Source organism: Homo sapiens, chromosome 13, assembly GCF_000001405.40.
Source record: "Homo sapiens chromosome 13, GRCh38.p14 Primary Assembly".
Classification (NCBI taxonomy): domain Eukaryota; kingdom Metazoa; phylum Chordata; class Mammalia; order Primates; family Hominidae; genus Homo; species Homo sapiens.
Genome location: NC_000013.11, coordinates 62,782,437 through 62,810,201, shown reverse-complemented (window position 1 = coordinate 62,810,201; position 27,765 = coordinate 62,782,437). Strand labels below are relative to the sequence as shown.

The window sequence follows — 27,765 nt, the reverse complement described above, 5'->3', positions numbered from 1 at the left end:
CTTGGAAAGAAAATTTTTAAAGCATAAATAAATATTTATAAAATCACCCAATATTTATACATTTTTATGTGTTATTGAAATTTAAATATACATGTAATTTATATTATGAAAGATGAAATTAAAATAATTTTGATTATACTAAATTTTATTTTAAAATATGAAAGGACAATAATGTTTCACAAGCTATTGGCAAAAAATCAAAAAATGTTTATATACTTTCTCCCACTTGGTATGTTTAAGATATTTTTATATATAATAACTGTGATGAATAATTTTATAGCCTAATCCTTTGTGACTTCTATTTAAGTAATCCCTTATGTGTGTTTTGCTTTATAATTTTAACAGTCCTGAACTTTTTAAATGTTTTCCTTTATATTTGCTTTAGATTCTTTTGTTATTTGGGGGTCTAAAAATTGTTTGACAGTATGTTATATGTCAATCATATTGAATCTATCCATTTTAGATTAATTTTTATTTTCTCACTTTTTTCTCAGAGAATGTAGACTCAATGCTATTTATGTTTTGTAACCATTTTTAGTCTACCATGTTATTTATTTCTTCAATTGTATTATTGCCCAATGATATATTTAGGTTTTATATGCCCATGCAAATGAACAAATTGTGTTATTTAAATATTTGATGCATCTGCTAATTTTTAAAAACTTTTTTCATAATTTGTGTTAAAATTCGAACATATCCTACATCCCACAACTATTGATTTATTTAACTCTCCATACAGTTTGTCCACTTTATTTAATTTATGTTATGGGTCTGTTCACAAATGCTTATGATAGATATACATTCTTGTTCCATTGTTACTTTTACCAGTACACAATACGTAATTCCATGCCTTGACCACTAAAATCTTTTGTTTTTCTTGAATATCATTCCCATCTCCCAGTCTTTCTGTGTGTATTTGTGTGTGGAAGAGGGGTGTTGGAAATTGTGTTTATTGTCAATTTCGGATAGTGTACTGGTGAATGATGTTGCTTTAGCCAATATGCAAAAAGATCTTTGGATTTTACTTTGTGAGTTTAACTCATTTAAGCTACATTTAGCAGATCATTGTTCAGGTTTTTCCTACCATATTTTTTCATACTTTTTATTTACAGAATTTCTTTTGTTAATCCTCCTGCCCCACTTTTGTGTTTTGCAATACATAGGCCAAATTTTCTCTGTTGGATTAATAGTCATGCATGTGCACTCTATTTTTATGTCCATGATGTTCCACTACTAGATAATCATGTATGTTAATATGTACCAATTGATTAAGTAGTAATATATATATATATATTTATATAATCTCACAAAAGGAGTATTTCAGAATGCTCTTATTTTCTCATTTAGCATAAAAATGAGACATAGTCTGTAATAACATTAGGTATTCTTTAGTTCTCAAAAATAATAGGATGGTGTAAGAAACTATTAAGTGGCAAGCTATTTGAACATTTCCATTTTCTATGTCTTCAAGCATTTCCTTGATTTATTTCTGTAAATATTAATATAAAACCTTCAAAATATTTCAACCTGCATTTTGTATGGTAGAACACAAATAACCTGTTTATCTAATGGTTTCTTTATTCCCCAAATTAAGTAAAAGTTTGAGTAAATGTGAAATTTAGATGCTAATGTATTTAATAGTTTCCTGCAAAAAACAAAATGCTCTATTTGTCTTCTTGCATGTAATATTGCAGGTGAAAAATCTGATTCATAGTATAATTCTTAGAATGAGTTCCTATTCTTCTATAAAATTTTAGAATTTTCATTTTGGCCTCTGATATTCTTAAATTTTATATACTATATATAGGAGTGCCTTTTCTTTCCTCTCCTATTTGTGATTTTATGGAATTTTTAATGTGGAGCCTGGGGGCCATGATAGAAAAGAGGTTAAGCACATTACTCTGGAATCAGATCCCTTATATTCAAAGTACACTGCTGGTAATATTTACAACTTACTAGTCAAAGGATGTGTGGCATGTAGAATATTTACCTTTTTGTGCCTCAGTTTACCCATATGTAAAAAAGGAAAAATGTTAGTATGTAACTCATTGGGTAGCTTATTGAGAATTAAATGCCAATTATCATAAATCACTTATAGGTTTTATCAATGGCCCTATGCTAATAAAAAATTATAAGATATACTTGAGCAAATTACAATTTTTATTGGAATATATATCTCCAGTATTTCTCCAAATTTCTAACTTGTAAGTTGAGAATAGTAGTAAAAGCAACAGTTGTTATAAGGTTAATTTAATTTACATATGTGTTTATAACAAACATATATATTGAATATATATGGATATATACATAAAATGTGTGTGTATGCATGCATATATACACACACAGATATGCTGCATACACACACTCCACAGATATGAACATATGTATATGTATTTGGGTCTGTCTGTATGTATGTGTTTGTATGTAAATCTTAGAAAAATGACTAACACATAACAATGACTATACAAATTTTATATATTTCTATTATTAATATGTTTTTAGGAATGGCCATGAATTGTGGAAAACATGAAAAGTAATTATCTACATGCATCAAAGAGACACTTTTTTTGGTTATTGCTTTTTATTATTTTAAATCAATGCTTTTATTTTAGAATAGTTTCAGGTTTACTAAAGGTTGTGAATATACTACTGAGTTCCCATATACTCAGCACCCAGTTTTTTCTATTATTAATATCTTACATTTAGGATAATGCACTTGTTAAAATGTATAAACCCATATTGATACAAGTCCTTTTTCTCTTTCAAGTTTTGATCCAGGATACCACGTGACATTTGGTAGTAATGTCTCCTAAGCTTCTCTTGATGTCAGTTTTCCATACACTCCTTGATTTTGATGACTTTCACAGTGTTTTGTACAGGTGAGATATTTCATAGAATATTTCTCAATTGGGATCTGTTTGCAAATTTTTTCAGGGTCAAAGTTATGGGTGTTGGGGCAGAAGACTACATAGATAAAGTACAATTCTCAGTACATCATATCGAGGGTAGACACTATGCAAATGAGTTATCACTGATGATGCTAACCTTGATCATCTGGTTGAGGTAGTTTTTATCAGGTTTCTTCACTGTAAATTTACTCTTTTTCCCTTTTCCATATTGTATTTGTTGGAAGGAAATCACTATGTATAGCCCACAGTTAAGAAGTGAGGAGCTATGTTTAACCTCCTTCATAACAGAGTAGCTAGCTATCTAAATTATTTCAGATTTTTCTGCAGAGGACATTTGTATCTTCCTTGCCATTGATCAACTCAAATTATATGTTTATGTCAACATAGGCACATGAATATTTATTTTATGTTGGGTTAAAATCTAACACTACTTTATGTATGTCCTTGCTCAAATTGTTTCAGCCTTGACTATTGGAAGCTCTTTTAGTTGGCTTTGTGTCCTTTTGACATACTATTATTGTTGGGGTTTTTTTTGTTTGTTTTATTTTCTTTTTTGAGTATGTTATTACATTCTGGCACTACAAAATACCCCAGGTTCATATTATATATTTTCTGCCCAGCCCAACAACCATCCCTTTTCCCACAGAGAACCTAGTTTCTTTTACTAGAGATTGCGGTTAGAAACCATAATCAGCCTGCTTGGTTTGCTTGTTGCTAATGGACTGTCTTTGCTACTAGAACCTCTCGTGTGCCAGAATAAAGAAATATGCATGTGTACTAACCAAAGTATGTACACATATCTATAAATATTCCTATATGTAAGCATGTCTATTCATATTAAGTTAAACATGAGTTTATATTTATGTTTCCAAATCTAGTCTACTACCACACAATCTAACTTAAACCCCTTGCTTATCTGTAACATTCTACTTTAATAGTAAGAATGCCTGGCTTCTACCATTTGTCATCATTTGTTTAATAAATCAACTTCAGGATGCAGGTATAAAGATTTTAGAATTGTTAATCTATATTCTGGTGGAAAACACCTTATACAAATTATCAAGCCATGGTAAATTCCTAAATACCTATTGCTAAGCTAAATAAGCCAGTCTCTAAAGTATATATACTGTATGATTCATCTATTGAAGGACATCTTTTTTTCTTTCCAGTTCTTGGTGATTATGAATAAAGCTGTGATGAACATTTATGTGCAAGTTTTTGTGTAGACAAAAGTTTTCAAATAAGTTGGGTAAAAACCAGGACTGTTCTTTCTGTATTATGTGATAAGACTATGTTTAACTCTGTAAAAAAATGTACCAAACATTTTACAAAGTGTTTGTACCATTTTCATTCCCGTCAACCATGATTGAGAGTTCCTGTTGTTTTGCATCTTCACCAGCAATGGGTGCTGTCAGGTTTATGGATTGTAACCATTCTAATAATTCTACAGTGGTAGCTTATTATTGATGGATCCAAGGAAAGTCATTTATTTTCAATTTTCTTAACATGTTCTTGTTTTAAGAATGGAATTGCAACTTCCATGTGCTTTACATGCAAGAGCTAAAACCAGAAGTCCTCACAGAGGCACTTTTGATAACTCTTGACTGAGACCACTTGGCCACGTATTTATTTAGTCAGAATTTCACATTTATCCTCTTAAAGGGAAGTACAGATTTTGATCCAGTAAGTCTTCAACAAAAAGACTTGCTTGACACTGGCACTGGTAGTTCTGAATTTGTTGTTGCTGATTTCATCAATAAATGTCTTGGCCTTTATTGCTTTAAAGCTATGGAAATGTGTACCAGCATTATCAGAACATAAAAATATTTTTTTCTGCTATTCCTTCAGAACTGCCTCTGACTTCTTTCTTTATCAGGTTTTAACCTACCTTTTCCTTTCTAGCCCTACCTACCTTCAACAAATGCACAGCAGTCCAATATTGTTTATAGCTTCTCCAGAGTTTCTCACATTTTTAAAGTTAATATTTTAAAGTACTCTAAAATCCTTCCCAAAGACAGTATAGTATGATATATGCAAGTGTATGTGTGCGTGTCTGTGTGTTTTTTCAAATAAATTCAATTATAATTCAGATTGGCTAGTCTTTTACTAGCCAATACAATATACATTCAATACAGTACATACACAATACAATAAAATACTTTATACATTTCAGGAGTGGTCAATTATCATTTTATCAGAAAGTCTAAATTCCAGAGGTGGTTCCTACAAATATTTCAGCTACCTTTATCTCTGATCTAGACCAGAAATGTTGCAAATTATTAAAGTGAAGGTCATAAATAGTTTTGTATTGGTACAATTAATGTTTTAATTAGCATTATAAACACTAGATGTAAATTCTTATTAGTAAAATTTAAAGTATTCAAGTTTTTAGATTGATTAAAATACTCTCAACACCCTACATATCTAACAATGCCTATAACCTATATCTTTAACGAAGTCATCTGAGGTTTAATTTCTAAATGATCTCAAGTCCAACTATTGGTATGGCTAACTTATTATTGCTTCAAGTTGGCCATAACAGTAAATGAAACCTGCCTTCAAAAATAAGCCTCAGTGAGCTTTTCTTGCAAGTCAGTGTTAGACAATATTTAAGATACAGCAAACTAGAACGTTGTTAGACTTTATAAATAAGTCCATCTATTTCAAATTTTACCAATGGCTACAATTATTTATCAAAAGGAACTAAGAACTCTGCACAACCAGATTAACTAAGGTTAATGTACAAAAGTTAGTTCCTGTAATTTACCTTCACCTTTACATCTTGGGTTCCACAACGTTGATTTTGAGGAAAGAAACCCAGAGGCCAGTGATAATTTTTCTTATTTTCGGGAGGTGAAAGTGTTGCTATTTCTCTGTAATATAAAATTATACATTTTTAGTTCAATATAGTGTTACATGCTTTTTGCCAGACCAAATGACATATTTAAGTGACTTTGGCTTTATGTTCGGCTAAATAAAGCATCTGATTTTAGATTATTACTTACTGAACACTAGAATTTGTAAATAGTAGCATTCACTGTTAAATTTATTCTAACTATTCTCACTGGAATTTTTCTTGCCTATACTCAAAATTTTTATTTTATATAATTTCTCTCCTAAAATACTCCTTTTTAAAATTGAATGTACCATATGCTACAAAGAAATATTTTCTTTCATTTCCAGAACTAAATATTGTAAACACTATATATTTTCCATACTTATGAATACACAAATAGTTACAAAATCTTCTCAACAATATTTTCCAGTTTTCATGTGTATATTGCATAAGACTTTATCCTAAAAACAACATCTTTTCTTCCCACTATATCCAAACTGATTGAGGAGAAACAGGAAAGTAAAGATAATTACTTTAATGATGAATTTTAGCCTCGTATAATATACTACTGTAATAAATTTGAAATCTAATTATGAAATATAAATACGGTATTGTCCATTTAATAATATAGTGGATCCCAATGATTTTATGCCAAGATTATTTTTGGCTGATAATAAAAGTTTCATCCTTGTTTCAACAAACCTTGCATAAAGGAATTGTTCATGAAAATATCGCTATTTCTATAATTGCATTAATCAATATTCCTATATTTAGTAGTTTGGAAATTCTCCAAGAATTTTTTGAAACTTATTGTGATTTATTTCGAATTTTACTGTTGAAATTTATGTCACTTAAGAATGATTCCGGCTGGGCGCAGTGGCTCACACCTGTAATCCCAGCACTTTGGGAGGCTGAGGAGGGTGGATCACGAGGTCAGGAGATTGAGACCATCCTGGCTAACACGGTGAAACCCCATCTCTACTAAAAATAAAAAAAATAAGCCAGGCATGGTGGTGGGCACCTGTAGTCCCAGCTACTCGGGAGGCTGAGGCAGGAGAATGGCGTGAACCCGGGAGGCAGAGTTTGCAGTGAGCTGAGATCGTGCCCCTGCACTCTAGCCTGGGTGACAGAGCAAGACTCTGTCTCAATAAAAACAAAAACAAAAACAAAAACAAACAAAAAAACCAAAACTAGAATGATTCCACAGAAATGCAACAGTAAATCAGTGAATTTCAATATCTGACTTTTTAAAAATATTTTTAAGTAAACTTATGTCTGTAAGGACTGGGCCTGAAAAGGTTAAACTGCAATGAATAGAACATTATCAACACACCAGAGACCCCTTTGTGGTCCCTCTGAATCACCATTTATTGCAATGACATCATCACTTTCTAACTTCTAACACATAAACATGTTTTACCTGTGTCTTAGATTTATATTAATGGAAACATGTGGCCTATATTTTTTGTATACATCTTATACAAAAAAACATACAATTATATATGTGAGTCTCATCAATATTATACTTCATTCTCAATGGTGTATAATAATGTGTTATATGAACATACTATATTTTATTTATATATTCAATGGTTAATGAAGATTTCAACTATTTGAAGGTTTTTGGCTATTACATTACGATGCAATGAAATTTTTGGTTGTAACTTTCTATTCATAAAGGCATATGTTTTAAGGATGTGAGTGGAAAAAACAGTTTTTCTCTGCTCTCACAACACAACGATCAACATGAAGACTTCTGTGACTACATGTGTGGGATTTTCTTCCCACCAGCAAGCAAGCAATCAGTTATTCAGTGGATAAAAGACAAATGTCCTCCAATGAAATCCCCATACTGTCTTCTATGGAAATACCATCAAATTCTACAGGTTGAGGGCTCAGTCCCACAAGACCGCTCCTCACTTTTGATGCCAATCACAAGCCTCAGAATGTTGTACCTGTGCTTTTGACTGATGGGCTATAAATCAGAATTCCCACAACTCCCTCCTTGGGTTTAATTTGTTAGAGTGGCTCACAGAACTCAAGTAAACACTTACGTTTACTGGTTTATTATAAATGATACTGCAAAGAAAATAGATGAAGAGATGCCTAGAGCCAGGTAGGAGGTAAAGGATGTAAAACTTCCATGCCCTCCCAAGGTGAACCACCCCCCGTAATATCCATGCATTCAGTCAACTGTCCTGGAAGCTCCCCATACCCTGTCTTCTCAGGCATTTTCTGGAGAACTTTGTTAGGTAAGTAGGATTGAAGTAAGGACAATTGTATAGACTAGACAAAAGGGTGTGATCTAATACTAATAGACTGTTTAAGGAAACACAGCACGGCCTGTCTGTTTAGATTCTTCTTGGTCTTTCAGTGAAGCTTTCCTTCCTACAGGGTAGGAGGCAGGACCCCTTCTGAAATGGGAGTCATATTTGCAATCAGATAAGGGAGGTCAGAGAATTTCAAAACAGAAACGTAGGGGAAGATTCCTGCCCTGCCTGGGGAGAAAAAAAGAGCAAATGTAAGGAGATCAGCAGGTCAGAGAGTGAGATTCTATTTTCTAAGGTCTGCTTCTCAGGTCTGACTCACCCCAACATTATAACAAGGGCTATGAGAGTTATGAACCAAGAACTATCGATATTAACCATATGCACATGATATCATAATATCACAGAGGGTCTATATCCAAGCCTGGAAATTCTGGTCATAGGTATACTAATATCTAGTTTTAATAGTTATTGCTACACACTTAAAACTTCTTATAAATTGATAATAGATAACATAATTAAAAAATGAAATAGGCAAATACTTGAAGAAACACTTTACCCAAGGAAATATATAGGTGACCAGCAAACAGGAGAAGGTATCTGATCAAATTTCATTAGGGTCAGAGAAATGTAAATTAAATATCCAAAGTAATACTTTACATGCTCAGCAGAAGAACTAAAATTAAAAAGGATGACAATACTAAATAATGGCAAAGGTGTGGAATAACAAAAACTCTCATACTCTGCTAGTAGGAGTATAAACTGAAACACAAATGGAAAATCATCTGATGTATCTGGTAAACCTCCATAAATACACATACTCTTACACATCACTTTCACTATTAGAAATATCCTGAGCAGAAAGAAGGAGTTATTCACTACGAGATAGGTAATAAAAATATATAGCTATATTAACAATAATAACACCAAGATGAAAATATCTCAAATGTTCTTAATACGAGAATACATAAAGCATAGTATTTTTATACAATGGAAAATATATAGCTATGAAAATCAAAGAATCCTCACTGCATGCAACCACAAAGATGAATTTCACTGAGGATTTGAGTAGAAGAGAGGAAATAATATATATTACATGATGCCATCTGTATAAATCACAAAAACAGGCAAGAACTATGGTGTGTTAGAAAACAAGAGTGGTAGCTATATGTACAATAGTAATGACTGGGAGTGTACTCCAGGAGAAAACTGGAGTACTAGTAAACAAACACATAAACTTGTTGTTTTTATGGTCAAAAATTGTTAAAACTTGGAATTTCATATAGTTCAAACTGTCTTTTAAATAACTAGATGCTGCTTACATGGGCATTTTTTTGTGTGTAAATTCATTCAGCTGTATACATATCTATGTAATCCATAAAAATGTACTTAAAAATAATTGAATGAAAATAAAAACAGATTGATACATAAAACTAGGACAAAACCAACCAAGGTACTGCAAGAGAAATGGTGCAGTTTACTCAAGGAACCAGTGAGATACTTTGGACTCAGATTTCATAGGTAAGTGGAAGAAAATAATGGAGTTGAAAACAGAAATTATTTAAAAGGCTATGCAGGTAAGTCTGTCAACTGATATCTCAACTTCTGTGGCCCACCATGGAGACAAACATAAGCAGCTCCATTTATCTTTAAATTGTTGATAGTATTCTGAAAAGATTTCTGATTTTGTATTGAATGTAATATGAGTAGGAATAAATACATTAGGTAAAGCACTTATTAGAAAAATTATAATTTAGATAGATTTGGAAAAAGATACGTTTGAAAAATATAAGGTTTGTAATACAAATTGTTACAGGATCCTTGGGATGTTGCTTCATCAGCTGGAAACCTCTGTGGCCAGTGGTACCTTTGCCCGAGTTTTACTTGGGCCTGCTTGGCCCACTTGGCCTAGCAGGCTGCACTTGGCTCATGCTACTGGCTTGAATCCCATGCCTGCCAAGGGCAAGGAGAGCAACAAGGGGTGTGTGCATGTGGTCTGGCCACTGAGCAGGAAATGCAGAGCCCCAAAGATGTGTCACAGGCCTGGCTCAGGGAGCTCCTAGGCCTGGACTTCCCAAAGGGCCGCAGCTCTTCTCTCCTTCTTGTCACCCCGCAATGTGGTGAGCAAGGGACATGTTTCAGCCCTGTTTGTGTTACAGCACTTTCAGCCCCACCATTCAGCGTGTCCCAAGTTCTTGTCCCATGCCCAGGATGATTAAGATGCACAGACAAGTGGAGGGTGAGTGAGGTGAAGAGGAGTTTTATGGAGTGATAGAACAGCTCAGAGGAGACCCACAGTGGGAAGCTTCTCTCCACAGCCAGGGTGTCCCTGCAAGTGTTGAGCCCTCAGCAGAGAGAAGACACTGGAGTGAGTAGCTCCACGTTGTCCCATCATCTTTCCAGCTCTCCGCAGAGAGGAGACACTGGGGTGCGTAGCTCCTCTCTGCAGCTGGTCATCCTGTCATCTCTTTTCAGCTCTAAGCAGAGAGGAGACCCTGGTGTGGATAGCTCCTCTCTGCAGGCAGGTCATCTCATCATTTTCTTAAGTCTGGCTGAGTCACGGGTTTTGATGGACTTCAGAAGAGAGGAAGTGCATGCTGATTAGTCCATGGGCAGCCATGGGTGGGCCCAGACAAAGCACCATAAGTTTCCACTCCAGTCTACAGGACTGGTAGAATGGCCCCCATGCTTCAGGCCTTCCCCATCTTGAAAGTGGGGCTTTACCCGGGACCCGCCCCTTTCCACCCAGAGACTGTCTACCTCCTGCTGCTATTCAGGGTGCCCAGGCTGTTCATGCTGAGGGGCACCTGCAGGCAGCACCAAGCTACCCTCAGTCCCTCCTCAAACTCCCTCCCATGCTCATTGGCACCCAAAGTCCGGAGGGGGCCGAGAGGACAGGGAGCTGGCATGTAAGTGCTGTCCCAAGCGTGGGCTCACCCAGCTGGGTTGCAACAGCTCCCAGGCTCAACCTTAACTTTGCTCTGAAATCAGAGTGGTAGCCAGGAGTCGGGAGAGGCTAGGCAGTGGGAGCAGGCACCTCTGAGCTTGTCGAGAAAGAAGGCTTCCCAGGCACCCAAGAGTGCAGAGATGCCTGGGTCTGCAGTCGCAGCTTGGGAGGCTGAAGCTGGACCCAGGAGGGAGGAGCTCCTCCCTGCTCCTGGTCCCCAAGAGCACAGAAATGCCTGGTTCTGCAGCCGTGGCTGGACAGCCGCAGCTGCACCTGGGAAGCGGGAGGCTCCTGTCCTGCCAACTCAGAAGTGGACTGGGCTTCTGCTTACTCCTGGCTCCTCCTGGCTCCTCCTGGCTCTGTGGAGCTGCAGCCACGGCCATGCCTCCCCCATTGCAGCCTCCTTGATGGCAATAGCCGCTCCAGATGGACCACCGCTGCCATCAATATAATTGCAATGTAATTGCGTATCAATTTAAATGATTTTCCTGTGTCCTATGTTTATTGCTTGTATAGTTGATTCATTAAGATAACTTTGAATTCGTACATTTTAGGACCATTTATGTTATTTCAAATAATAAAAAAACTGAAAGAGCTATCCTAATTTCATAAATATTAAAGAATATTTAAGAATGCAAAAAGAGGAAAAGGTACATTTTATTTTAGAAGTTTATGTCTAACTGAATGATGCAAATAAATGCTGAGTTGAAAGTTGAAAGCATTGCTAAAATGTTTACTGTCTACATATTGAGAAGAAATGTTGTACTCCAGACGATATCATCACTGAAAACTTACAAATAGCCTAATTTAATAGCCATCATGGTTTTTATTAGTCCTCTGCAGCTACTGGTCCAGTCTCTTTTATAACTGAGATAGTGCTACTCCTAGGTCTTCCAACTTCCGTGTGCCTGTCTTTGCATTTTTTAAATCTCCTCATTAACTTGAAAACAGGACAGCACATTTCTAAGTTTTATGAAAATTTTTATCTTATGTAAAATGATAAAAGAGATTACATTTTAAAATCCCTTTTAGATACATGTTATTGTTTCTTCAGTCTCAGCTGCACTTCAACATCACTGCATTTCTTCTCTCTGATTCTTTTCCAAATGCACTTAACCTGGATTTATATATTTCCTCACTCAATTTCAATGTATTATTTTAATTCGATTATATGGAACACTTTATCACTGCCCCAGCAATTACTCCTGAGTTTGCAAACATGAGCCGACTAAGTCATTTGAAGCCACCCGCCCCCCAACCCCTCAATGAAAAAAACAATCTTAGATAAATGTTAAAACAAACAGGCAAACAAACATACGCATGTACAAACATACCTGTCCTTCCCTCCCTTTCTCGCTCTCTCGCTCTCACGCACACTCACCCATACACACACACACACACATATACACTTCTCAAAATAAAGGGCCATCGACTTAACAGACCTACTTTTACTCTCATAAACAATCATCACGTTTATAGCAATTAATTAAATATTTTATATTAATAGTTTTTGTAAGGCACATACATAAAGATAAGTACTAAAGGCATATTTGTGGAAAAAGCTCTATACTGTACATAGTCATTTCTTTTCTGGTGTAATAGAAGGAGTTATTTATTGTCAGTAAACACACTTATTTTTTGCTCTGGTTTTGTGTGAAAGACAGCTTATTCATTTTCTCTTCCAACCAAAACTTTTTGGAATACATCACATTAATAGCCAACTTATTTTAACACCATTTCCAAAACTCTTTTTTTAAACCTAAGTGTTAAGCACATTACATTACAGTGTTATAGTATATATCTACATTCATTCATGACCTATGTTCTTCTTCATTTTTCACAATTTTATAAAAACATATTGCATACATGTTACATTCCAAATAATTCATCCTCATTCTTGTGACAATACTTTATTGCATATAAATGCTGTATTTTGTTCTTGTATTGCTTTTTAAATGACGTATCTTTGAGCATTTTATAAATTATGTGTTTTCGTTATGCCAAAATATAATTGTACAAAAAATATAGGGTTGAGTTCTCAACAGGCTTTTAAGTTTAGCAAGTAGATCCTTAATAGAAGACTCACCCCTTCTTCTTGGAAGGATGGAAAATGGAATTTTATCTGCTTAATTTTCATATATACATATGAAACATATATAATATATAACATATATGAAACATACATAATATATGACATATATCAAACATATATAATATATAACATATATATGAAACATATAATATATAACATATATATGAAACATATATAACATATAACATATATAAGAAACATATATAACATATATATATATAATATGGAACACTTTATCACTGCCCCAGCCATATATATATATATATATATATATATATATATATATATATATATATATATAATGTTATGGACTGAATGCTTGTATCCTCCCCAAAATTTATATGTCAAAATTGAAACCCCCAATGTGATTGGATTAGTAAGTGAAACCTTTGTGAGGTGATAATGGCATGAGGGTGGAGCCCTCATGAATGGGATTAGAGCTCTTATGAAAGAGACCCCAGAGAGATCCCTTGCAAGTTCCACCATGTGAGGATACAGGGAGAAAATGGCAGTCTATGAACCAGGAAGCAAGTCTTCACCAGAACCCAGCTGTGCTAGCACCCTGAACTCAGGCTTTCAGCCTCCAGAACTGTGAGAAATACATTTTTGTTTTTATAAGCAAGCCAGTCTATGTTGTGTTTGTTATAGCGGCCCAAACAGACTAGGGCAATATATTATTGAGAAAGATAATGTTTCCCTTACACGCCAGAAATTAATCATCTGTATTCAGTAAAGCATACATTTTCTAAATCCAAACAACTTACTCAAAATTTTTAGACTTTAACCTCTAATTATATTTTTTACTTTAATATATTACATTTTATATACATTTAAAAATATATGTACCTATTCCATTCATTTTCAGCATCTTTTATCTTTTTGTTTTTTTGAACTTTGTAGCTCCATGTCTGAACTCATTTCTCTTTTGAAATGAGTAAAAATATATTTTTTTTCAAAAGGTCAATTCTGCCATTGTCATTTTGTTGCCTAAGGTATGAAAACTATATAAATGCTCATAAATGCAGTAAAAAAATAAAAACTTTCCTGTGAATCAGTATTGAGGTTAGTGCTCTTATCCTTGATGATGGAAAAGGCACTTGGCCTTGAGATCTTTGCAAGCTGAGGAGCTGGTGATTTTTTGTAGTTGTTACCTGATAATGCATTTTCACTTAAAAACTTGTTTCTCTCATTCTGAAAAGTATAAAAAATCAAGTTTTAACATTTTTTGAAGTTTTTTTCTATTTTCATATCTTTCTTTTATTATACATTGCTATGGCTGTATTTATTTCAGAAAATTCTATAAAATCTAATTCATGTAGAATGTAATATTAAATGTTTTTCAATATTTTAACAGATTTTATAATGAAATTATAGTACAGTACATTAAAGGACAACTAGACAACTTTAGTATTATCTTTACCCATTTTAGAATCCATTGCATGCAAGGAGATTTTATTACTTTGTTTTAAGGTAATAATTTTTAAAATGTATAGCCAAAAAAAATTAAGTATTAATATTGGGAGCTATCCCTTTAGCTACAACATCATGTCTATAGAAAGTGTTACTTCATTAACAAAAAGCTCTAGAAAAAATCAGTGATATGGTTAAAAGCTCCTGAGGTTGTAAAATTTTATACTGATTTTTGCTTTGCTACTTACTGGTTGTTGATCTTTAGAAAAGCTATTTAACCTTTCTGCTTCCATTATTGTTTCATTACCTACAGCAGAATTTTCAACTCATGAACTCTTATTTTCCAGAGTGGTTCATAACTTTTTTCATCATGAAAGTCATATCAGGGTTCTAAGCAGCAGCAATTAAGACAGTTGTTCTCTCAGCTCAAAAGGGCTAACAAATATTGCCTAAGATTTCCTGAGTTACCAGATTTTCATAAAGAATTACCTCTAAACTGTTAATTTCTTAAGGTCGAAGTATAGTCTGATTCTAACAAAGTACTAGCTTATTTATATAATGCTTAAAAAATAAAAATAGTAAAATTTGGAGGATGTAGTGTTTTCTTCCACAACTGTATATCAAATTATGTTTGATATTCTTTCTCCTACATTTTTTTCCTTACAAATAAGGCTGATACATATACGATCTACTTTCTTGTGGTTCTTTCAATCATTATTCTCTCTGGATTTGCCAGATACTGGGAAGCTTATTGATTTTTCAAACACTAAACTTGATTCTTCTAGTCTCTTCCCCATACTTCATTATATTAGTGAATATAATTTAATCTTATCTCCCAACACTACCACTAATATTTGTACCATGAATAAAAAATGCTGTAGGTTATAAGGGAATCATACTTGAACAAGAAAAAAAAAAAAACCTCATTCTCTCAGATAGATGGTGGAATTCCCAGGCCTAGCCCCCAGGGAAGAAAAAAAGGAAAAAATCTTTAATAAAAAAAATTTCTTGACACTATAATTCATCTTATCAATTGATAAAATTTTCATTACTGGATAAAAGAAGAACAAAATCTTGTTTTCTGCTATTGTCCTATTAAAAGTTAATAATGCCAGTGCTGGTCTGGGAGGTTAGAATCTAATGTTTTGAAGATATTTTTTATCTTTTAGATCCTCAGAGCTTTATAGCCTTTCAGTTGAGAAATATGAAACACTGAAAATCAAAAACAAATGCTGGAAATCTTCTGTAAGTCAAATTTATTTGCTTCATCTTTTTCATCCATGATTATTAATGTGATATAACTGGTAAAATGATACACTGTAAAAGATGTATTCTATGATTGTTTCTTAACAAACAATAAGAAATTAGTATGACCTATTCTTACTATAAAGGAAAAAATCTTTATGTGGGGTCAGATAATCTAAATGTTATTGGAGATCAATATCACAATTGTAGCTAATGCCTAAAGAAAAAAAGACTTGAAACACAGAAAAGCAGAAATAACTTACCAATGAACTTCAGGAATAAAAACGAGTGTGGTCTTAAAAAAAAAAAATGAATAGCTGGCTAAAACTTCCCACCTGTATTAATATAAGAGGAGAAATATGTACAGGAAAACAGCTCTGACCCAAACCATCTGACTTTAGATAACCCACTCTGCCAAGTTCACTCAGTCAACAAATGCTGAGATGACAGTTTCCTCATCTGTAAAATACAGATAATGCAAGTACCACTATAGCCTGACAGATTCTTCTTGCCCAGAAAAGCCAATACACTGAGAACAGCAGGAGTGTTGCAGCAGAGATTTTAATTATTACAAGACAGTCAAACAGAAATATGGAAGATATTTGTCAAATCTGACTTTCTGAGATCTTGGAGGCTAGGCTTTTTAAGGATAATTGACAGGCAAGGGGTTAGGGAATCGGTGCAGCTTCTTGCTTGGGGAGGAAATCATAAGAATGCCCAAATTGTCTTCACACATTGAATCAGTTTCTGGGTGGGGTTTCACTGACCAATTCTTCAAAGACTTTAAATAACCAACTCTGCCAGGTGGGTCCAGATGGTATCAGTTGGTCCACTAGAATGCAAAGTCTGAAAAATATCTCAAAGACCAATCCCAGGTTTTTTACAATAGTGATGCTATCTATAGGACCAATTGGGAAAGTTCTGAATCTTATGACCTCAGGCTTCATGACTCCTGAGCAGTAAGCAAGCTATAGAACCACAGCTGGTTATTGCCTAACCTTTGCACAGGTTAAGTCTTATGCATAGGTCTTAGCAGAATTCAAGCCCCTCCCAGAATTCTAACCTTGTGGACTTTCATTAGTTTTATGAAGGTGGTTTTGGTCCCTGAACAAGTAGGAAGGCAGTTTTTTCAAAAGAGCTATTATCATTCTTATTTTAAGGTTAAACTATAAATTAAATTTCTCCCATAGTTAGCTTGGCCTATGCCCAGGAATGAATAATCCCAGTTAGCTTGTGAGTTTAGACACAAGATAGAGTTAGATATGTTAGATTTCTCTCACTGTAATAATCTTTCCAAAGGGGGTTTTTGTACTTACCTCATAAAATTTTTATGGGGATTAAATATAATAATTGGCAGAATGTTCTTAGAATACTGGCCTCTCTAATTGCTAAATAAGCATTATTATGTGCATTTACTCTATTGCAAAGAACTTCAAATAGCTGATCTTCGCCCATGCTATTAAAGGAAATTTGTTTTGCTTTGCTTTCCATCATCTACTGTCTTTATAGTATCTGCCTTACTTTTTCAGGTTAAATTCAGCTGTCTGAATTTGCTCCACAAACTTCACCTTACTATTCTCCAACTTCTTAAAAGATATTTATTCTAGTCCCAAGTTTTCTGAGTAATAGGAATCATTAATCCTACACTCAAGTGTTTCAGACCCTAACTTTCACTAAGATAAATTGTAGAAATAAATAAATAAATGGGCTTTTTATATGGCACTGAAATTTTCACTGATTCTGTCTCTAACAACACAGAAACACTTAAAATACTTGGGCAAGATTGTGCCAAGGAATCTTGTTTTGGTTTCTGTTTCCTGAAATGCCTGGTTCTTGGAAAGTTTAGTCAGAGAAATAGGAACCATCTATTGTATTAATTTCTGAGGACTGCCATAACAAAGTACCAGGAACTGACTGGGTGGCTTAAAAAAATAAAATCCATTCCCTCACAGTCTGGAAGACAGACAACTGAAACCTAGCTGTCAGCAGGGTCATGATCCCTCAGACAGGCTGAGTAGAATTCTTCCTTTCCTTTTCTAATTTATGATGGTGATCAGCAATGTTTTTTGGTGTGAAGCTATATCCCTCCAGTCTCTGCCTCTGTCTTCACATGGCATTCTGTCTTTCTTCGTGTCTCTTTTTTTCTTAAGACACCAGTCATATTGAAATAAGGGTATACCCTACTTTAGTATTATCTCACCTTAACTATTATTATAGTTAACTATTATTATTATATATTATAGCAAACCCCTATTTCTGAATGCAACCACCTTTGCACAATTATAACTAAGGAAATCATGACAGTGAGAAACATCAGACCTAACCAACTCCACCTTGCTTCTAATCCCTACACTGTCCTTATCCATTCCTGGGTGTAGGCCAACCCAGCCTTGGGAAGGAATTTAGTTTATGGTTTAAATAATAGCCCTTTCCAAAAGTGAAACTGATCTTGTAAACGGAATGAAAAACCGCCAGCCACCAAGTTAGAATGAGGGGGCTAGAATTCTAAATATTACCAGCCATTATTCCGGAGGTCATAAGATTCTTAACTTCCCCAATTACTCTTTAAGGGAACATCACTATTGTGAACCTAAGATGAGCCTTTTGAGATGTCTTTTCAGGCTTTGCATTTCTCACAACTGGATGGCCCCACCTGGACCTGCCAACCAGTTCTATGGCCTCACTCAAGAACCGATGCAGCAGAAGAGAACAGCTTGGACTCTCTATGATTTCATCCCTGAGCCAACCAATCAGAACTTCTGATTTACTGGCCCCCTACCACCATATTATCCTTAAAAACTCTGATCCCCAAGTTTTCGAGGAGACTGATTTGAGTAATAATAAAACTCCAGTCTCCCACACAGCCAGTTCTATGTGAATTATTCTTTCTCTGTTCCAATTCCTCTGTCTTCATAAATCAGCTCTGTCTAGGCAGCGGGCAAGGTGAATCCACTGGGCAGTTACAAATCTGGGGGCTCGTCAGGGATTGCCCTTGTGGCTACCTGCCCATGCAAGGTTTAGTAGCCCCCCTCCAGCAATGGATTCAGAGATTAGCCCAAGCAGCTGTCTAGTTCTCTTGGACTGGGGGCTGACCCTGGTAGTTTTTGCTACTGGCAGGGTGCTGCCAACCCAATATGCATGAATTTAATTATAATAGAGAAATAGTTCTGGGGAGATGTCCCATCACTGTAACCCTATCACAGGGGGTCTGTCTGTAGCCCCTTGGTAAAGTGTTTGTCTGTAGCCCCATTTCTGGGTGTCTGTAGCCCCATTTCTGGGTGTCTGGGTTGGTGAGTATCCTAGGCACTGCCAATGCCTCCTTCCGTCTGCCGACTGTTTCTGTAGCCCTATCATGGGGTGTATGTCTGTAGCCCCATTGCAGGGTGTCTATAGCTCCACCATGGGTTGTCTGTCTCGGTTTGGCTCCTGGGGGGTCTTGGTTGGCTTTCCCTAACGAGTAGAAAAAGTCTTGGTTTGGGAGTCTTCTCCTCAATCAGGAAGATTTCACAGAGATTTCTCAGACAAAGTATAGGTGAGTAGTTTGGAAGGGATACTCTGGAGTTCTTGGTTAGGAATCTTGATTTGGAAGGCCTTCTGTCCATCTTGTCTTTGTGTGTATGTTTGTGTATGTGGAGGGGATATCTGAAGGAATTGCTGGCGGAAGTCCAGCAGGCCTAACTTGGAGAACTCTCCATATCTATCTGGTCACATTCTGTGAGTCCTGAAAGAAATTTAACAAGCCTGATTCAGGGTTACTGCTTTTCATCTTGCTCAGAGACCACCCATTGAATTCCCAAAAAGAGGTCACCCCTCCCCACTCTGAGTGGATCAAAGACAACAGGAACCAATGGGAAAAAGTTTTTGAGCCTTGCCAGGTCGATGTTGGGTATTGAATGAGGTGACCAGTGTCTGTTGGGTTACATGTATTTTGCTTCCACTGGGATGGAAAATGTTAATTTGGTTTCCCATGCAGCCTGTCGGGGAGCATCTTGAGAAATTGAGAAGCTTTTGTCTGTGGTTCCATAAAACAGAGAAAGATGACTTTCTTTTGTAATGGGGCTTGGTCCCTCACAGCTATGTCACAGTGAACAGGGCCATCAAAGCCTGCTCCAATCTTCTGGAAGCTGCAGAGAAAGGGAACCCGGAAACCGGGTATGCTTGGCTGTAAGAAATTCTTACAGCCGAGATGCTGGTCTCTCTCTCTCTTTCTGCATTGTGTGTCGGGGGGAGAGGTGGGGCGTGGAGGGTAAATGATAAGCCTCACTGTGTGTCTCCTCTGGAAGGGTTTGATTAATAGTGAAAAAAGAAAAAGATTTGTGACACTAGTCTTAGGCTGTAGCAAATTTGTTGCACTTTGTGCTAATAATTTGTCTTTCTGTAATGGAGAGAGGGGTATCATAGGATAGAACATGAGTTTAGGACCCCTATAAGCCTGCTTTTCAAGCCAACTCAGTAGGCTGGTCAGTTACAAGTTTGCTGCAGGTCTCTGAAACTGATACCAGATGACATTTCTGTCTTGCTTTTGCTCCTTAAGAGCTTAACCTTGTGACCATGTGAAGACACTTTATCTTGGTCTCTACCATCCACAGGACAGAAATTTTGGGGTTCATGTCACATTTAGCCCTAAAAATTTTCTTGAGGAGTTAAAAGGCTTTGCAAGCTTGACATTGGCTGTTCTAGATTTCTTCTGGGAAAACCAGTCGAAGCTGCTCAATGCTGTGTAACTCAGTAGCTAAGCCTTTATCTCCTGTGGTGACCCAGGTTCAATTCTTGGCATCTGGAATGATTCCTTTCTGGCTTGTTATTTCTGTAACTGCCATTTATTGAGGTTGCCCCCCTACAACCCCCATGGATAGCTTTTGACTTCCTGTCTTGAATTCTCCTTTCTCTGAACTCCCTTTGGGGAGTTTCTAAATCTTGTAAAAAAAAAAAAACAAAACAACAACAACAACAAAAAAAAACAAAACTGCTTACCGTAATTTTAAAATACCTTATGCATCTATGGTTAAGTTATAACCTTAATTAAAACTTACTAATTTCATGTAGGAGGTTAACTAGGGTAGAATTCAAAGGCCAGACATATTGGCTGTCGTGGCTGGAGTGTGGTAATAAGAGATGTTTTTAAGATTTTCTGTTTTTAACAAAATAACTCTGTGGTTAAAATTGGCTTAATTAAAAACAGATATCCAAACCATATATATTTAAAAGGGCTTTATCTTTCTTCTATTCCTGAATCATGTTTTTCTAATTAAAAAATTTCCTTCTCAGTTGACTGAACTGTTTTTCTCCATTTTGTCTTCTTGCCACTCTTGATACCCACATGAGAGAATGCAAGATATTACTAATAGCCTGTAACTTCTGGGGGAAAACAGGAGGCACCATGGACCCCATTCTGCGAAAAACCTCTGTTTTCCCATAGAACCCCAGGAATTGACATGAAATAAACCTTTCTCAAAATCTAAGACTTTGTTCTGTTTTGTCTTGTGTTAGCTGACAATTTTGACTTTTGTGAGTATCAAAAATTACTGTGTGTATTAGCCTTGGTGTGTAAATAACTAGGGAGGAAATATACTTTACAGGATGGCTAAGGCAATTGTGGAGAAATACTTGCCTCTTTGCACACTTGGATTAGAGAAGCATGTTCTTGGCCACCTGGAAGATATGGAAGTATCCCTACCCCCTGCTGAGAGATGAGACCCATGGGGGATGGGGCTGATTGGCTTTGGGTTGCCTTGCAATGAAATGCATGGTAGAAGCACTGCACTATCTCTTCCCATAGTATTTCCCTCTATTTTGGGGATCCAAGATCCAATATAAAATGGCACTCTTAATTTGGGGGATCTCTTTTTTGCCTTCTAGCTGTGCCTGCTTATTAGGCTCTAGATACTGCAAGCTTTCCTGGTTCTGTTCCTCCAAGGGCTCCACCCTGAAACCAGTAATCTAATTAAGAAACTAGCAAAAGAAAAATCTTAACAACTACTGGATCTTCTGTCTGTCTGTATACTTATATGAGTTGTATGTATGATGTTTATATAAAAGATATCTGATTAATTGGATCAGAAAAATAAACACTTAAATCATATTATGTCAGAAAAGTAGAAACTGATGATTTTTTGTTCATGTGACTTTAGTAATCTTTCGGAAATAAAGACAACTTTAAAGATTATTGGTAAAATGAAAATGTCTTCAAAATTTGAACATTTGGTCTAAATTAAGGTCAAATATAAAATTTGCCTTCTTTGTCTTTTGAAAATTGTTCAATTTAACAATTGTGGAGCATTAGATTCTAGATAACTCCCAGAGACCCCATTGAGAGGTTACACAAACAGGGTCTCATTCTGAGGTTCATGAAATAACATAAATTTTGCAGGGGACACTATCCAACCGAGTGCATCTCTCAAGTTTTTTATTGCTGTTATTTGTTTTATGATAAAATGAGTTTTAATAAGGTGATTAGAGACAATTACCATTGGAAGGTTGTAGAAGTAATAGAAAATACAGGGTCATAGAGGCTACAACTAGTGATCTTAGCTTCCTGCAAAACCAAAGAGACTGCCTCCAGGATGACACCCAGGGATTCTGGATGCTCCATTCTGGAGCCTTATATTTTGAGAAAGGTTTATTTCATGTCAATTCCTGAGGTTCTACGGGAAAACAGGTTTTTCGCAGAATGGGGTCCATGGTGCCTCCTGTTTTCCCCCAAGAGTTCCAGGCTTTTAGTAATATCTTGCATTCTCTCATGTGGGTATCAAGAGTGGCAAGAAGACAAACTGGAGAAAAACAGTTCAGCCAGGGAATCTTGGCTGCTTGAAATCTTGAAACAGGAGATTCTTAAAAGGACATTTGAAAGTAATGAGAAAAACTTTTCCATATGTTAATGCCCACACTTTTCAGCAACTACTACTCTAAAAGGACAGCCTCTCTCTTTCGTCTTCCAAATGTCTTACAAGTATCTCTAATGGCTAAACTCAAACCAAACCCTCAAGAGTTTTCAGCCAACACTTCCCTTTCAGTACAGGGGACGGTGAAAAAGGATGGAGATAGTGATATGTGTCACAATCAGTATTTTTCACAGAAAGGTTTCTAATCACCCTGCTGGGACAAACACCTCAGTGACTGTCCACTGGAACATAAATATTTTATTCTGTCCTTTGATAGTTCCAGGTAAGCACAATTCAGTTGTAATCATTGTAGATAGAAAGAATGTACAGCCACATTTGGAAATGAACAACTGTCATCAAAACAGCACAACAGCATTAGAGGCTCAAATGTAACCTTATAAATGGGCAGAGTTCTTGGACAAAAATTTTCTTCTAAGGCAAAGTCAAAAACCACAAAAATATTTCTAAGCACCAGAAAATGTAAAAGATCCATTTAATCTCTAACTCCTTCCATGCAAGTACAGAAGCCTGGGCACATGTCAAGCCATTATGGTTACTTCGTCACAAAAGAAGATAATTATGCTTTCTCTCCCAGTGCTCTAATCACTGAGCAAGTTCTTTAACTTTGATTTAATGTGCTCAAAAAAAGATCTAGGATTTTTCTTCATTCAACAAAAATTTTATGAACACATATTTATAGTTCTCTGTCTCTCTCCACACACACATATACATACACATCATATATACATATATATAGACAGTTAATAGATACAAATATATAAAATTGATATCAATATTGATACAGGTATATAGAGTTGTGTCAATATATATAGCAAAAATACATACTAAAATAAATATACATATATAGAAATGTATACATACTTTGGTGTGTATATATAGCATGCTCTCTCTCTCTCTATATATATATATACACACACATAGCAAATATCTAAGTATCTGTCTACAGTGTATGTGCATGTGAGAGAAAGAGAGATTGATTTGAATAAGTATTAAAAGGATTGGGAGAAAATATCCACTTGATTTACCAGGCAAAATGAAGACAATCACAATTTCTTTCTTGGCCCTCACCAGAAACTTGTACACACTCCAATGCTATGACATTTCTAGATACAATTTTAAAGAGGAGGGGAACCAAAATTTGATAGATAAGTACAAGTAATAACTGTCCCAAGTCACAATTTTAGCCAGGATCAGCACAGAGCAAGTGTTATTAACCTCTAACTATCTAAGTTTCTAAGTTTTTCTTAGAACCTCACTGTCTACCATGAATAAGTAAAGTGAAAAAGCGGGGATTATTCTGCAAAGTGTTGATTACTTTCAATCTGTTCATGTTCTATCAAGGATTCTTTTTGGAAAGATCTCCTTCTGGAATAATTCTTTAACTCATGCATCATGTGGAATATCCAATATCTTTAACTTGGATAATTATAATAAAATTATAAGAAATAATTGCATGAATATGTGACTCAAGGTTTCAGGATAATAATTGTTTCAAAATAGAAATCTTCCCATCTCCAAAGTGTATTTACATTATTTCCTTCTACCCAATTATTTAAATCAAAATGTAATATTTTAGCATTTTATATGAATAACTAATGAAAACCTTTTTTTTTTTTTTTTTGAGATAGAGTCTCACTTTGTCACCCAGGCTGGAGTACAGTGGTACGATCTCGGCTCACTGCAACCTCCGCCTCCTGGGTTCCAGCAATTCTCCCTGCCTCAGCCTCCCAAGTAGCTGGGATTACAGGAGTCCACCACCAAACACGGCTAATTTTTGTATTTTTAGTAGAGACGGGGTTTCACCAGGTTGGCCAGGCTGGTCTCAAACTCCTGATCTCAGGTGATCCACCCGCCTCAGCCTCCCAAAATGCTGGGATTACAGACATGAGCCACCATTCTCTGCATAAAAACATTTTAATGTGAAAGTACATGTAGTATATGAAAAGATATTATCCCTTCCACTATCCAAAATATGAATATTTTAGTTGCTCTATTGGATATCTAACCAGGGATATCTACTTGTTGCAAATGAAAACAAAAATACACGTATTTATTTATTTGGGTCAAAGTGTGGTTCAAAGAAAATGCAATAGTTTCTGGAGACAATATCCCTTGAGTATGTCATTTGGCAACACAATGACTTGAAGGAGTTAATTTTGCTTCCAACTGCAATAATTGCTGGTAAAGGAATGTATTAGTTGCTGTGGTAAAAGTGTTAAGTGCAAAGTAAAGAAATAAATAACAACCACAAGATGATGGTCTTTAGCACATAAGGCAATTGACCAGGTTATTCAAATTCTTTGGTTACCTGTGAAAAAAATATATATGTAGGAGATCAATTATATGCAAGAGGTAATATTTAAATGTTAGTGATTTAATAATAAGGTGCATCCCAGCATATTAGTAACCATTTTTAATTATATATTTACTCTTTTTGATAATTTTTTTATTTGAAGTAATCTTGGTATACATTTTCAAAAATGACTGGGGTCATCATCTTACTGATTCTTTAATTCAATAGTTAGTTTTTAGGTAATTCCAAATACAAACATTAATCTGTTGTATCTGATTAATGTGCTAAATTTATAATGTTGTACATTAAAATTTAAATTGTATTTTCAATAATTTTGTTTTAAATACAAGTTAGAGATTGTTTTTAATAGTAATATAAAATAAATTTCCTGACTTTTTACTTATCATCTTTTCTAATTTTTAAGTTGCAATGTTGAACGGTGCTTTTATTATATGAAAACACTTATTTAACATAGTTCTATGAACTTTATCCAAGTAAGGTCACTATGTAAATAAAAGAGATAACGATATAGTCTAGGCTGAGACATTTAAAAAAACTGCTTTAGAAAAAGGTAAAACCATGGTCATTGTATACTCTGTCTTCTTTATCCGTGGTACTGTCTTGTGTAAATTTTAACTTACATTTACTAATATAAAAGTGCAATCTGTTTTCAATGCATGTTTTATTAATATTTCTTCCCTGTCATTTTAAAGTTTTCTTTTGAGTGTCTGAGGGTTTTCAAAAGTGGAGACATAGCTTCTATTTAGTGATATGTAAAATGATGTTCTTCGGAAAATACTGAAGTGAAATAAAGGAAACATACTCATTATCTATGGCAGAGGGACATTCCAATTTCAATGAAAAATGTTTATACAAATTGTGGATTACAGTTATTAACTTAAATGAAAGAAGCTGTCAGTGATTTGTATTATTCCTCAGTAGTCAGACATCATCTTTTAGTTTGCTAAAATAAGTCATTTTAAAAGTACTATTCTGAGAAATAAAAAAGATAATCACTTGCATTCATTTTGTTCTCTTTTCTCCTCTTTTCCTCCCCATCTTATTTCATTAAAATGTTTTAAAAAGAAGCAAAACAAATGTATACCTATGTCCTTAGATGGAAGAAATAAGAGCAATCAAGTAATATGATTGACAATGACGCAGGCAACAACAAAAACTCACCACGACCTTTGGCGCATGTACACAGCAGAAAAACATAGAAAGCCAAGCCTTTCTCAAGGCCATTTCAAGCCAGCTAGGGTCCCAATAATGTGAAAAATCATCTTTGTAAGACATTCATCTCTAGAATTTTCATCTTTCAAGGGTTAGTTGAGTTTCTCTAACTCTTATCAAGTTTCCATGGTTTTAAACTAGTTAGCCAATTATCTTTCCTCTGTAGTAGTGGGTAAGATTTTTGGCACAGATACCCAGTTTGAGGGTACTGTCAGTCAGTCTTTTGAGAATCCTCTTTACCAACTTCCTTTATTTCCTGAACTCCCTCATCCCATCTTCTCAGATGCATACTCATAGGATCCTGGCTACAATGGTTAATCCACTAGAGAAAAGCACCCCAGGTCCAAATACAGGGAAAAGTTTTATGCCTGGAATTCAGTATAATTTAGCCAAACATTGAGATTAGACTGATTCACTACAGTGCCAGCTAATATTGACGCATATGAAACACCAAAGTACGATGAAGTAATTTATTTGATTCCCTATATTTTAAAAAATTGAAAATTTCCAGTGAACCTTTATAGCTTTGAGTTATCAAAGCAAAATAATCATTTCTGTTTTCAAGTTTAAACTCTATTAATAATAGGAATAGATCCTTGTGTTAGTTAGGGTTCTCTAGAAAGAGAGAGATGTGAGGGGATTTATTAGTGGAATTATCTCATCTAATTATGGATGTTGAGAAGCCCCACAATAAGCCATCTGCAAGCTGAAGAATCAGGGAAGCTGGTAGCATCAGTTAGTCCAAACTCAAAAGCCCCAGAACCAGGGAAGCCAAAGGTGCAACTCTAAGTACAAGACTAAAGTCCTGAGAAACTGTGGGAATACTGGTACAAGTCCCAGTCTCTGAAAGCCAAGAACCTGGAGTTTTGATATCCAAGGGCAGGAGAAAAGAGTGTCACAGCTTCAGAAGAGAAAGATAATCCAACTTTCCTTTTCCTTTTGTTTTATCTGGGCCCTCAGCTGATTAGATGGTACCCATCCACACTAGGTCAGGATAGATCCTCTTTACTCAGTCCACTGAGCCAAATGCCAGTCTCTTTTGGAAACACCTCACAGACATACCCAGATATAATGCTTTACCAGCTATCTAGGTGTGCCTTCATCCAGTCAAGTGGACACCCAAAAGTAACCATCACAGTCCTGCTCATACATTTCAGTTATAATATACATTTAGTGTTTTGATTTTCTAAGAACATATGCTATAATAACCTATTGTGAAAAACCAGGTAAACATGATCATACAGCTTAATTGAACCATATTACTTATTTATAAAATAAAATAATATTTAAACTATAAATTAGTTATAAACTATTGATACTTAAACTATAAATTATTATATAATATATTCTAAATTCTTACAACTAGAATACATTAGTAGTCATTAGTACTTAGTATATTAATCATGTATAAATTGGTATGTTTATTATTTTGTTTACCTTATGTGAACATAAATATTTTTCTCATATTTTGATTTAACAAAGTTACATTAAAATATATTTGGAATGTTTGAGGTGTTCTTACCTTATTACAATAACTGGCATTAATAACAATTGAGAAAACTTTTTTATAATAGAATTTTATTTATGGGTAAAATTAGATGAATTATATATAATTTTAGGTGAATAAAACA

At 35.0% G+C, this 27,765-nt stretch overlaps 1 long non-coding RNA gene across 3 annotated transcripts in view; it reads left to right on the top strand.

The window, feature by feature from the left end:
* Positions 1-2,842: 2,842 nt before the first annotated feature.
* LINC00448 (long intergenic non-protein coding RNA 448) overlaps positions 2,843-27,765 on the top strand; it is a 135,075-nt gene continuing 110,152 nt past the window's right edge. The window contains exons 1-3 of one of the 3 annotated variants that reach the window (NR_120403.1): positions 2,843-2,879; positions 15,631-15,706; positions 21,032-21,168. This is a non-coding gene — a long non-coding RNA (long intergenic non-protein coding RNA 448). Of the gene's footprint in view, positions 2,880-13,509; positions 13,643-15,630; positions 15,707-21,031; positions 21,169-27,765 lie in introns of those variants that run through there. The other 2 variants (NR_120404.1, NR_047029.1) reach the window with 2 other exon arrangements.